This window comes from Homo sapiens, chromosome 8 (genome assembly GCF_000001405.40).
Source record: "Homo sapiens chromosome 8, GRCh38.p14 Primary Assembly".
Lineage (NCBI taxonomy): Eukaryota > Metazoa > Chordata > Mammalia > Primates > Hominidae > Homo > Homo sapiens.
In genome coordinates this window covers 100177321-100191785 of record NC_000008.11, presented here as the reverse complement: position 1 = coordinate 100191785, position 14465 = coordinate 100177321, and the positions used below count along the sequence as shown (strand labels likewise).

The window sequence follows — 14465 nt, the reverse complement described above, 5'->3', positions numbered from 1 at the left end:
CCACTCCACATGGCTCAGAGAAAAACATTGCCTACAACACTATAGGAAAAAGAAAAATTGATATTTGTCTTTCAGAGGAAGGTTTATAGTTTTGAAAAAAAATTTTAAGATTCTGCTTTCTTCCACTTGAAATAGATGTTAACGTTTTGGGGTGTCTGGAATATACCTACCTTTTAAAGCTGTGACCTGATCTTCAACATAATTTGTTTGGCAAGATTGATACCACTTTAAAATAAATACAGAAACAGCCAACTACAGAATTAGGTGAGAAATCACATTCTATACTTACCTTGGCCAAATCATTATCAGGCTCAACATCTAGTACTTTACTCAAATCTTCTGTAGCTTCCCGGAGCTTGTTTTGATGTTTATATGTAGTAGCACGACGCAGAAGAGCTGAAAATTTACCAATATAAAAGTTATGTTTTTTAATATGTGGCATTATGGTTACAACATATTTGGCAAGTGGAAGATATGAGCAGCACAGAATACTTTAGGATGTAATTACCCAAAGCTCAACTACACCCTTTTTCATGTTGATACACACATAGGAGATGACACTGAGGTACATAAAAGAGGCTACATCAGCCAGCTGTCCCCTCTATAACAACCCTCTGGCCCTCTGGCAGCCCCAGGCCCCGCCAGCTTTTCCAAGAACTAAGAGATTTCATACCTCAACCCTTCACAGGCAACACATTGTATTGCAATATCGGAATGATTTTCACTGATAATAATCCTTTCCTTTTTATAATTATGGCGAGTATTATTTAGCCACTTTTTGAAAACATAAAATCCCTTATCAAAATTTAGTATATTGGCTAGGCACAGTGGCTCACACCTGTAATCCCAACAATTTGGGGGCCTGAGGTGGGCAGATCACTTGAGGCCAGGAGTTCAAGACCAGCCTGGCCAACATGGCAAAATCCCATCTCTACTAAAAATACAAAAAAAAAATTAGCTTGGCATGGTAGCACACATCTGTAATCCCAGCTACTCGGGAGACTGAGGCAGGAGAATTGTTTGAGCCTGGGAGGTGGAGGTTCCAGTGAGCCAAGATTGTGCCACTGTACTCCAGCCTGGGTGACAGAGCAAGACTCTGTCTCCAAAAAAAAAAAAAAAAAAGAAAAAAAAAGTATATTACTGACCAGCATCTAGCTCAGAATGTGGCTCATTAGTGACATCTGTATAGCAATCTCTAAAATGATTAGAAGGAGTGACTTAGCATAGGGAACTGAGAGAATCCTGATGATTAAGTCAGTTAGGTCAGAAATTAAGCACTTTGATAATTCGCATTTGATTTTTTGGGTACGTTTCAATGTATAATTTGGTAATTATTTAATACTGACAATGAATGCCTCTCTAGACTCATCATTAACTATTATATAAGGAGAACTTTGTGTAATAAGTCATTACTTTGAAAAAGAATCAAGTTTGGTAATTCTGAAAAGTGAGAATTTTTTTTTTTTTTTTTTTGAGACAGAGTCTTGCTCTGTTGCCCATGCTGGAGTGCAGTGGCACAATCTCGGCTCACTGCAACCTCTGCCTCCCGGGTTCAAGCGATTCTCCTGCCTCAGTCTCCCAAGTAGCTGGGACTACAGGCTCATGCCACCACATCCAGCTAATTTTTTTTGGTATTTTTAGTAGAGACGGGGTTTCACCGTGTTAGCCAGGATGGTCTCGATCTCCTGACCTCGTGATCCGCCTGCCCCAACCTCCCAAAGTGCTGGGATTACAGGCATGAGCCACCGCGCCTGCCTGAAAAGTTAGAAATTTTATCTGACATATTTTAATATGCTATTTTAAAACATAATTATAAATTTGACCAATTTGAATTTTAGTGTTAGAATGAGCTATGAAAATCTAAATGAGAAATCATTTTGTTATAAATTTAATTAAAATTGTAGCACTGCACTTTAAATATAATTTAGCTATTGCTATTGCTACACAGATTTCTGAAGGGAATTTCTATGAAGAAATATTCATGACATAATGATTATCCTTTTTTAAAACTTTTTATTTTGGAATCATTGGAGATTTACAGAAAAGTTGCAGAGATAGTACAATGAGTTCCTGTGTCCCTTAACTCAGCTTTACCTAATGCTAACATATTCTGTATTTATTTATTTTTTTTGAAACAGAGTCTTTCTTTGTCCCCTAGGCTGAAGTGCAGTGGCGTGATCTCAGCTCAGTACAACCTCTGCCTCCCAGGTTCAAGCAATTCTCCTGCCTCGGCCTCCCAAGTAGCTGGGACTACAGGTGCCCACCACCATGTCTAGTAATTTTTTTTAAAATTTATTATGGTTTTTTTTGAGATGGATTCTCGTTCTGTCGCCCAGGCTGGAGTGCAGTGGCGTGATCTCAGCTCACTGCAACCTCTGCCTCCTGGGTTCCAGTGATTCTCCTGCCTCAGCCTCCCAAGTTGTTGGGATTACAGGTGCCTGCCACCATGCCCAGCTAATTTTTTGTGTTTTTAGTAGAGATGGAGTTTCGCCACATTGGCCAGGCTGGTCTCGAACTCCTGGCCTCAAGTGATCCACCCACCTCAGCCTCCCAAAGTGCTGGGATTACAAGCATGAGCCACTGCACCCCTCCATTTTTTTTTTTTTTTTAATTTTTAGTAGAGATGGAGTTTTGCCATGTTTGCCAGGCTGGTCTCGAACTCCTAACCTCAGGTGATCTGCCCACCTCGGCCTCCCAAAGTGCTGGGATTACAGACATGAACCACTAAGCCTGGCCGAGAGTTTTGTTAAAATTAACAGAGTTAATACATGTAAAGTGCTTGGCACGGGGCCTGGCAGAGCAGTGGTATGGGGTTGGCAAAACCTTCAGTGGGCTGCTGCCTAAAGCTGGGAGCCCAGCCATACTCTGTGACAGAGACCAGCTTGCGTAAAACACAGGCCCAACAGGACTTTATTGGTAAATGGAGGGCAATCCATGGCAATGACAGTGGCAGGTGATGCACCAGGCTTCCCCTTAGCACTCCCATGGCTTCTGCCACCTCCACCATGTTTATAGGCAAAAAGGGATACATTCCATGTGAAAAAAGTGTTTATATTTATTTGAATCCATAAAAATTTAAAGAAATATAATGTGTCTATTATAATGTATGTCACTCCCTCTTGGAATGACTCCTTCTTGATAACAGAAAAGGAGAATAGAGTCTGATTTGCATATTTCAGGCCTGAACCATGACAAGGTGGTCAGTCAGAGGGACAGGGAATCAAAATAGAGTGCAGGTTTTTGGCAGAAAGAGTCAGTTTTGGACAAATTTAATTTAGAATTAAGTTATTCAAATTATTAATTTAAAATGAAAATTAAATTATTTATAGCAGGCCAGGCTTGGTGGCTCATGCCTGTAATCCCAGCACTTTGGGAGGTCGAGGTGGGCAGATCACTTGAGCTCAGGAGTTTGAGACCAGCCTGGGCGACACAGTGAAACCCCATCTTTACAAGAAATACAAACAAAATTAGCTGGGTGTGGTGGCACGTGCTTGTAGTCCCAGCTACTTGGTAGGCTGAGGTGGGAGGATCACTTGAGACTGGGAAGTGGAGGTTGCAGTAAGCCAAGATTGCACCACTGCACACCAGGCTGGGTGACAGAGTGAGACCCTATCTCAAAAAAACAAAAACAGGCTGGGAGCAGTAGCTCACGCCTGTAATCCCAGCACTTTAGGAGGCTGAAGCAGGTGGATCACCTGAGGTCAGGAGTTCAAGACCAGCCTGGCCAACATGGTGAAACCCCGTCTCTCTACTAAAAATACAACAATTAGTCAGGCGTGGTGGTGCACGCCTATAGTCCCAGCTACTTGGGAGGCTGAGGCAGGAGAACCACTTGAATCCAGGAGGCAGAGGTTGCAGTGAGCCGAGATCACGCCACTGCACTCCAGCCTGGGTGACAGAATGAGACTCAGTCTCAAAAAAACAAACATACAAACAAACAAAATTATATATAGCCACCTAGGTGGAAATATCCACAAAGAAGCTGGGAGAAGGTTCTAGAGGTCCAGTGTGGGCTTATTATTTTATTATATTTATAAATACCAGAAAATCTATATTAAGTTATACTTAATTTTTTTTGGAGAAAAAGAATGTTCAAATGCAAGCTTGAGTTTTTTTTTTGAGACACAGAGTTTTGCTGTGTTGCCCAGGCTGGTCTCAAACTCCTAGACTCAAGCAATCGTCTCACCTCGGCCTCCCAAAATTTTGGGATTATAGGTGTGAGCCACTGTGCCTGGCCAAGATACTTCTCTTTTATTTTATTTTTGTTGTTGTTGGTTTTTTGTTTATTGAGATACTTCTTTAAAATATATATGTATTTTATTAAATCCTCTGGGATTATTAGCTACTTCAGTACAAATAATCAGGAGCTTAACTTACAAGTTCAATTTAAAAGCAACTTTATGAAGTTGGTGATTCACATACAGAAATTTGAGTTTATCTGAAATATTTTTAATGTAAACATTACAAGTATCTACAAATGGTCTTTATTAATGGATCCTGCTGTAAATGTAAAAGAATTCTATAATATTTTTTACCCTTTACGTTTCCAGGTTCTAACTCCAAGACCTTTTCACAATCCTGAAAAGCACTATTCCAGTTCTGTAATTTGATTTCTGCTTGAGCTCGATTGTTATAGGCAACTACAGTGGGAAGCGCTGATATGCTCCTAGAAAAGAAACAGTTACTGGCAACAAGCAAGCCTAAGGTAAACATAAGAATGTAGAGAAATTCAGCTTCAGTTATACATAAAACAATTATAACCTGTCTATGGGCTGAATTGTATCCCCCAACATTCGTATGTTGAAGTCCTAACCCCACAGTATCTCAGAACATGACTGTATTTGGAGATAGGGTCTTTAAAAAGCTAATTAAGGTGAAATGAAGTCATGAGAGGGGGCCCAGATCCCATAAAAATGGTTTCCTTATAAGAAGAAGATATTTGGACATACATGTATGGACAGACTGTGAAGTCACTGGGAGAAGACGGCCACCTACAAGCCAAGGAGAGAGGCCTTGAAAAAACCAACCCTGCTAGCACCTTGATCTCAAACTTCCAGCCTCCAGAAGTGTGAGAAAAGAAATTTCTCTCGTTTAAGCCGCTCAGTCTGTGGTACTTTGTTACGGCAACCTTAGCAAACAAATACAGCCTATATTATCAAAAATAATAAAATACAATTCTACAAGCATACTAAATCAATATTTAAACAGATGCTTAAATATCCAGTTAATAGCCTTAAAGTTAACTCAGGCTTTAGAGGCATTATGGGAATTTAAATACTGATAGATCTGGAATCTGAGCTTTAGTTACTGGAATAAAAAATGAAGGTAGAAAAAGATAAATACCTATAGATCACTTTAAAAAAAACCGTTGATGTAAGTTAACATCAAATATCAAATACCAAACACATTTTTTGAAGCCAGGCATGGTGGCTCACCCCTGTAATCTCAGCACTTTGGGAGACCGAGGTGACAGCATGGCTTGAGGCCAGAGGTTCGAGACCAGCCTGGGCAACATCATGAGAGCCTGTCTCTACAAAAAACACAAGAGAAAATTATCCAGGTATGGTGACTCACACCTGTAGTCCCAGTATTCTCAGGAGGCTGAGGTGGGAGGATCCCTGGAGCCCAGGAGTTTGAGGCTGCAGCGAGCTATGATCACACCACTGCACTCTTGCCTGGATAACAGAGTGAGACCCTGTCTCAAAAAAAAAAAAAAAAAAAAAAAGAATCTGCCCAAGGTCAGAAAGTGGTAGTCTGAATTCCCTTAACCATCATACTATGCTGCTTTAATTCTTCAACTATATGACTCCTCAAAAAAGAAGAAAAGAGCTTTGTAACCTGTAATAGACAAGAGAATCTCTGGTATAAACCTACAAGAAAAGAAAGAACAGTTATCAAGGCTGACATCCACCTGCCTGAACAGGGGAGGCTGTACTGAATGAATGATCCATCATATATCCTCTTTACCTCGTATCTTCATTTAAACAATCTGAGAAAACTTCTTTAGATACACCAACAACATTGAAAAAAATCTATCTTATTTCCAAAGGTGGAAAAAAGATTGTACAGAGTTTAGTGCTAAGGTAGCATTAGTGATTCTATAAGAACAGTTTATCTGTAACAACATTTTAAAAACTTAGTCTACTTTTCATAGGCTGTTAAGAACTTCAGAAGTTCATATACATATTTATTGAACATCTACTATGAACCAGGTACTTTGTTGGGCCTTGGGGATACAATGGTGTAAAAATCCTTGACAAATGGGTTCTGCTGTTACAAATCTTACATTCTAGTTATTATCAAATCACACAAGCTTAAATTATACTTCTGACAAGTGCTACAAAGGAGAGGTAAGACTGCTATAAGAGCCTATAAATTGGGAGGTGAGGTGGGTGGGGTGAGATGGAGATTTAACCTAGTTTGGAAGGTGAAGTAAGACTTCTCCAAAGAAGTAAGGTGAAGACTAAGATCTGAAGGATAAATCAGAATTAACTAGATAATGGAACGAGGGAAGAGCATTTTTTTTCTTAATTTCCTTTTCTCTTTTAAAGGCTAGTCAAGTGAAACAGTGGGAGTGGAGAAGGAACAAGGAAATCTGTAACTGGTTGTGATCAATTAGTTGTAAACACCACTGTACTCAGACCAGCCATGGGAAAAGCATTTTTGATGGTGCACCCAGCATGTGCAAAGGCCCTGTGGTAGGAAGGAGCACCAAAGTACTAGAAGTAAATCCAGGCAGTCTACAATGGAACCCAAGTTATTCACTTCTATATCATATGGGCCTTCTGTTGAATTCCTGTCAGATGCCTTCTATTTTCTCTGCAAGATAGGAAGTTAAGTCTTCTGTCAAAAGTAGGAGTGGAGTGGGAGCTTAGAGGTTTGAGAAAAATTATTGAAAAAATAGGAGAAACACAAGTGAATATATGATAAATCACAAGTACAATACATTGAGAGATTCTGACATAGACTTTCGCTTATTTATATTGTTTCAACAATTAAAACATTATCATTTTTTAAAAGGCAAGTTTAAACCCCAACAAACATCTGCTCACCTGGTATAATACATCACTGCTTCTTCATAATCTCCTGAGTTGAAAGCTTCATTTCCTTTCTCCTTTTCACGAGTGGCAAGAAAATCCTTTTCTTTCTCAGTTAGACCTAGAAATAAATGTTATCTGCTATATGTAAACGTATAATTTAACAGAATTTTTCAAGTTTAAATCTAAGAATGCTTATTTTAACAGAAGCAGAAGAAAGCAGAAAGATCATAAAATAAACAAAAGAAAATAAAAGGTTCCCCAAGCTTAGGGATGTTTTCTTTTTAAATCATTCACAAGTTTTGAGGATTCAGAATTTTTTTAATGATTGATTTCGTTTCACTTTATAGGTGCTAGTCCAATAAACTGCCCCATCTTTTTGTTTTGAAGCAAAAAGAAAACAATTTTAGGAATTTGGAGGAAAAAGAGGATTGGAAAAAAGGAATTAAAAACAAATGAATTACAGTAAGAAAAATAGGTTTATATTTTAAAGCCTTACTACATTTAAAAATTAAGTGGGTAAAAGAGAGAAGTGAATTTGTTGAGTGGTCAACTGTAAGAGAAAATCCATAAACTTTTCATGGTAATCTGTGCAGTACTCAAAGACAATGTCTTCTAGATTGACACTTTTTATTATAATTGAAAAACTTTAAAGACTACTAAATTATTATTTTTTCTCCAATTACCTGCTGTATCTATTCTTGTCTCAATTTTAGACAAGTGTGACTTGTCTATTACCGTCTTTTCTTTGTAATCTTCATCAATTTTTAAACATTCCTTCTCCACGTCAAATCTTAAATGAAAGAACAATAAAAACCAAAAAAGTACAATACAGGCAAGAAAATAAATTTATCATTGATATTCTTATATTTGTACAAGTATGCCTTTGGATACATATTCAAAAATATGTAGTAAGTTAATAGTTCAAGTCATCTGAGTTCCTTCTTAAGAAAACATACAATTTAGTGAGAACTTAAACGTTAATCAAATCTAAACTGGTCAGAACTTTGAAATTAAAATTTTGACTAACTTATCTCAATTTTAAATTTTTGTTCCTTTTTAGTTTGGATGGGTATAAAAAATACATTAGTTTTTTTGGCTGACTTTATAAAAAAATAGGATGTAGAAGTTTTTTATGTACTGAAAAAAACATCAAAAGTGCTGAGGCCAGATATTCTCAGTACTCTATTGAAGTAATTTGGTATTCTTGACATGTTAAGGTTTATAATAATTATTTAAGAAATTATTGCAGTATTTTGTGGTAGATAACTTTTTTAGTGATACATTTTATATAAAGACATGTAAAACATACTTATCCCATTCCGCGTAATCCCTTGGAGTTTTCTTTTTAGTTGGTCTTTTAGAATATTTTTCCTAAAAGAATAAAATCATATTTTATGAGACATATTTAATATAAGATTATCAGGTTTTACTGTAAATGCAATGGAAAGTATTGGGTTAAGATATACAAATGGAAGCCAGGTGCGGGGACTCACGCCTGTAATCCCAGCACTTTGGGAGGCTGAGGTGGACAGCTCACTTGAGGCCAGGAGTTCCAGACCCGCCTGGCCAACATGGTGAAACCCCGTCTCTACTAAAAATACAAAAATTAGCTGGGCATGGTGGCGCACACCTTTAATCCCAGGTACTTGGAGGTTGAAGCATGAGAATTGCTTGAACCTGGGAGGTGGAGGTTGCAGTGAGCAGAGATCGAGCAACTACACTCCAGCCTGGGTGACAAAGAGAAACTGTCTCAAAAAAATAAAAATAAAATAAAGATATACAAATGGAATGGATAAGAAAAATAGGTACCCTGGAAGTTATAATAACTTCAGTATTACAGTTATTAACATAATAATATACAGCATGTAAAAGAAAGAATTTTAAATTTATAGTTAATTCTGGGGACAATCTATAGGTTTTTAAGTATATACATATAAAATTTTAAAACTTATGTGTGAATATGATTATTACTGATTTTCTTATAATAAAAAAGTACTAAATTCTGATTCATTCTTTTCAAACCTAGGCATTGGAGAAACAAGAATAATTGCTATATTAGTCAGAAGTTTGCAATGATAGTAATCTGATTTGGAATAATTACATTAAAAAAGAAGAAATTATCAGCTTATATAACTAAACTGATGGAAGGGCAAGGGTGCTGCTGGATGAGGGGATTCCTATGCCCTTTCTCCAGCTCTCCCTGCCCCTCCCAGGTTCTGCTCCTCTCTACCTACTGATTTCACTTTCCCTGATGGGTACTTGCTTTCTCCATGTGGCAGGAAACATCACCACAAGCATTCTGGAATTATAACCTCACAGCTCTCTCCACCAGAGGAAAAGGAGAGTGACTCTTCTCTCCATCTTCAGTTAGAGAAATTCCAAGGAAGGACTGATTGGCTAGCTTGGGTCATGGGCCCATCCTAACCAAGCACTAACAGTGGCCCAAAGTAGCCACATTCCCACTGCTAAAGACAGAGGGCAGGTTCTGCACCAGAACAGAATGAGAGAAAGGCAAACAATAGCCATAATGCTCACAAATAATCAGTCTCCCAGAGAGGGTACAATTTTTTGCTAGATAAGTACTAAGGAATATTAACTTTAAAATATTTATCTATATAGTCTGAAGAAAGGTAAGTATAGCAGAATTTATAATAATAAAGTAGGTACTGATTTGTTTTTAAACTATTACATATCTTCATTCTCATTAGGCTCAGGTTTGCTAATAGCAATACTAAGAACTATATAAACTACATAAATGAGTACTATGCAGTCCTTACAGGCTCAAAAAGTATCATTTGATGCTTGAACTCGATTTCCTACTCATAAAGACAATGTTCTCAATGCTAAGATGATGTTATGGGTTGAATTGTGTCTCCCAAAAACAATATGATGAAGTCCTAACCCCGGTACCTGTGAATGAGACCTTATTTGGAAATAGGGTCTTTGCAATGTCATCAAATGAAGATGAAGTCATTAGGGTGGGCCCTAATCCAGTATGACTGTGTCCTTATACAAAGAGGAGAAGAAGTTCCAATAGAAGGAAGCTGGTGGTGTGGAAATGAAAACAGAGCTTAGAGTTGTGCCGCTACAAACCAAGGAAGGCCGGGGCTTCCAAAAGCTGGAAGAGCCAAGGAAGGATCTTCCCTTACAGGTTTTGGAGGAAGAAAGGCCCTGCCAATACCTTGATTGTGTACTTCTAGCCCCTAGAACTGTGAAAGAATACATTTCTGTTGTTTTATGCCAACCACTTCCTGTGGTGTTACAGCAGCCCTAGGAAACTAATACAAGTGGTATCACTTAGTTTCAAAAGGTCATTGATTCAAAATCAGGGGTATTTAATATTCATATGTGGCTCTCAAATACCTACCTGTGACAAAAAATATCCCCCTTTAGGGATCAAGAAATGGACATGAATTGGCTTGACTGTGGTAAGCATTTCAAAATGTGTAGATATATCAAAATGTCACATTGCACACCATAAATACATGCAAGTTTTATCAATTATGACTGAATAAAGAAGAAGAAGATTTTCAATAAATAAAAAAAGAATGTGGAGCAATAAAAGTCTCAAGACATGGACTCAGTATACATGATAAATTCTAATGTGTAATATTATATTTGGATATTTTAAGAAGGCAATGCTCCCTGACTTTGAAAGGCTGGGACATGTGCCTTCTATGTATTCTCATAACACTGCATATTTACTGTCATAATCCATTATATGCTACATTAGTGGGGCTCAAACTTTTCAGTATCATGACACTCTCGCACTCCTCAAAATTATTGGTCATTGGAGTTATACAGATTTTCCAAATATTCACAGATTTCATTATGCAATTTTAAAAATCACAATTTGTTAATATCTGCATGGAGATCATCAAAAAAGACTTTCAAGTATGTTAAATAAAATTTATAGAAGGTCAATGATTTGGACTAAGCTCCTGCACTAGGCCCCAACAGACTTAAATACAGTCACTAGTGCTCAAGTTCCATATCACCAAACCAAAACTAAGTTGCTTATCTGACTGGAGAAATCAAGAGACAGAGATAATAGCCAAATTTCTGCTTTAACCCTTACAAGGAAAGTAACCTGTTATTAAATAGTCTATTTTTTGTATGCCTTATCCCTGCTCAAGCTACCTTATAAAAACCAGCTGTTCTGCCATGGCCATTGGAGCATATTTTCTAAATTTTTAGAGGAGATGCCATCCTGATTCATGAATTGTTAATAGAAGCCAATTAGATCTTGAAATTTGTTGTAATTTTGTCCTTTGACAAGTATCCCCCTTAAGGGCTATTTTCTGTCACAAGCAGATATTTGAGAAACACATAATATCTAAATTATTAGATATTGTTATATTATACTAAATATTTAATACCTCAAGCCCTAATTTGCACTTTGTTTTTAGAGACAGGGTCTTGCTCTGTTGCCCAGACTGGAGTATAGTGATGTCATCATGGCTCACTGCAGCCTTGACCACTAGGGCTCAAGCAATCCTCTTACCTCAGTCTCCTGAATAGATAGAACTAGAACTATAGGCATGTGCCACCACACCACACTAATAAAAAAAAAAATGTTTTGTAGAGATGGGGTCTCGCTATGTTGCCCAGGCCTCGAACTCCTGGGCTCAAGTGATCCACCCGCCTTGGCCTCCCAAAGTGCTGGAATTACAGGCATGAGCCACTGCCCGCCTGTGCCTGGACCTAATTTGCACTTGAAAGGTCAGATTTTCTTACTAGCAACAAATACTGTGAGTTGTTTTTCTTAAAGCGACAGGCCTCCTTCATTCACTTCCAACAAAATTTTTGCCAAAATCCTAAGTCTGAATAATGACAGTTTGTCAACCATTATTTCAAGTAAAAACAGCATTCCAGGAAGACGTGGCTATGCATCATATCATAACCATCATATTTGACTATGCAGGGAAGTGCTTTCTGCATACTTCTCACTTTGTCACAAAATACTAAAATGACATGTCCTGGAAGTTCAAGATCTAACAAAGTAAATATTCTATTATTTTATCAAAGGTATTTTTAAGTAAAATTGGAATTTGTTTTTACTGTATATACAACGTGGTGCCTGCCTTGCTTCATGTTAAAGCAATAGCAGCTTTATCCTCAGGGCAAATACCAACACAGTGACAAGGACAAAGCATTAGTATTATTTTCAAAATAGCACTAACTTTCTGGACCCCCTGGAAGAATCTCTGGGACTTCAAGGGCTTCCTAGACCATACTTTAAGAACTACTGTACCACTAGTCCATCCACCCCATTGCTCCTTCAGCAATGCTTGTTCATTGTTATATTTTCAAGGCACAGTCTTAGTACACCGGGACTATTATTATTGTTATTATTATTTTTTGAGATGGATTCTCCCTCTTTCCCCCAGGCTGGAGTACAGTGGTGTGATCTCAGCTCACTGCAACCTCTGCCTCCCAGGTTCAAGCGATTCTCCTGCCTCAGCCTTCCAAATAGCTGGGATTACAGGGGCCCACCACCATGGCTGGCTAATTTTTGTATTTTTAGTACAGATGGGGTTTCACCATGTTGGCCCGGCTGGTCTTGAACTCCTGACCTCAAGTGATCCACCCTCCTTGGCTTTCCAAGGTGCTGGGATTACAGGTGTGAGCCACCATGCCCAGAGTTTTTTTGTTTGTTTTTGTGGTTTTTTTTTTTTTTTTGAGACAGAGGAGACAATCTCAGCTCGCTGCAACCTCCATCTCCTGGGTTCAAGCAATTCTCGTGCCTCAGCCTCCCAGGAAGCTGAGATTACAGGCACATGCCACTATGCCTGGCTAATGTTTTTGTATTTTTAGTAGAGATGGGGTTTCACCATGTTGGCCAGGCTGGTCTCGAACTCCTGGCCTCAATCCATCCACCTCAGCCTCCCAAAGTGCTGGGATTACAGGCGTGAGCCACCGTGCCTGGCCAACTATTCAATAAATACAATTTCACTGATTGCAGATAGTGGCATCCTCACCAGATTACTGTACACCTCCATTACCTGCATAATTCCTAATGAGGAGTAAAAAGATCCAGGAAGGTAAATTATCAGAGAGCAGAGTGATGAAGAGCCATGGATGTTTTTAAAATAAAATTGATTCAAAGAAAAGACGAGAATAACAAGAATGAGTTAACCTAGAATGAAAAGGCTTGGGGAGTCATCTGAGAAATTACAAGGTCAGATGGATGCCAGGAACCCCAGTTTCAACCTAAAGTTAAATAGAATGGGCCTGGAACTTCAAGAGGCCCCTTCTCTGTGGAGCCCACAGATTAAAAAGGAGAGGTCTATGTGACAAAATAGGGACCAACGACAGAGAAATGGGAATAAGAGGAAAAAACATGCACTAAACAGAGGAATGACATTTATAAGTACTGAAAGTATCTGTTTACTGTTTTAAATCCATAATTAAATTATGTAACATGATATATCCTCTGTAGCCCTACTAGATATATACAATTGTTCCCTGAAATTTTCACACACTGAATCAGACCTTTTGCTCTCATCAAAACTGGACGGAAGAGACAGGGTGTATAAAAAAAGAAAAAAAAGACTAAAGGCAGTAAATAAGCCCAAGATGCAGGACTTCAAAGGAAAAAACTGTTTCATTTTGATTTCCAAGTAATGAGACAGTAAAGAACGTGATAGTTCCCAGCCGATAGTTCCCAGCCAGCTGAACAAACTCCCCAATTCTCCTAGAGGACATCACACATAGGCTGCTCCAATTAAACTGAGATTGCCCCTTAATAAACAGCAGCAATCCTCTCCTGCTACCACCCACAAAGATATCAAAGAAGCCTACCTTGCCTACATGAAGACAGCTGTTTGAACCACGAACTGGAGGCAAATTATCTTTCATTGCTGGAAATGTCTCAGTTTCATGAAAGTGCATTTTATCTTCTTCTTTTTTAATTTCTGATACCCAACTCTGAGAATAGAGAAAAGGGTAAATATATAGTTTGAAATAATTATAACCAAGCATAAGAAAGAACTATAGTTGACCCTTGAACAATATAAGTTTGAACTGCATTGGTCCACTTATATGTGGATTTTTTTCAGTAAAAATATTGGAAAAATTTTTGGAGATTTGTGACGATTTGAAAAAACTCACAGATGAATTAGAAATATCAAAAAAATTAAGATAAAGTTAGGTATTTCATGAATGCATAAAATATATGTAGATACTAGTCTGTTTTATCATTTACTACCATAAAGTATACACAAGTTATAAAAAGTTAAAATTTATCAAAACTTACCCACACAAACACTTACAGACCATAAATGGCACCATTCACAGTAAAGAGAAATGTAAAAAAAAAAAGACATGAAGATGCAGTATTAAATCATAGCTGCATAAAACTGACTGTAGGAGACACTATAATACGTAATAATTTCACAGCCACCTCCTGTTGCTATTGTGGTA

At 37.9% G+C, this 14465-nt stretch overlaps 1 protein-coding gene across 11 annotated transcripts in view; it reads right to left on the bottom strand.

Moving 5' to 3' along the window:
• SPAG1 (sperm associated antigen 1) overlaps nt 1-14465 on the bottom strand; it is an 83867-nt gene that overhangs the window by 50119 nt on the left and 19283 nt on the right. For all 11 annotated transcript variants that reach the window (XM_047422128.1, NM_001374321.1, NM_172218.3 and 8 more), the window contains exons 4-9: nt 13845-13970; nt 8350-8411; nt 7724-7830; nt 7053-7158; nt 4536-4666; nt 290-396 (exon numbers count right to left, since the gene is read on the bottom strand). In XM_047422128.1, the coding sequence (XP_047278084.1) occupies nt 290-396; nt 4536-4666; nt 7053-7158; nt 7724-7830; nt 8350-8411; nt 13845-13970 (639 nt within the window). The remainder of the gene's footprint in view (nt 1-289; nt 397-4535; nt 4667-7052; nt 7159-7723; nt 7831-8349; nt 8412-13844; nt 13971-14465) is intronic.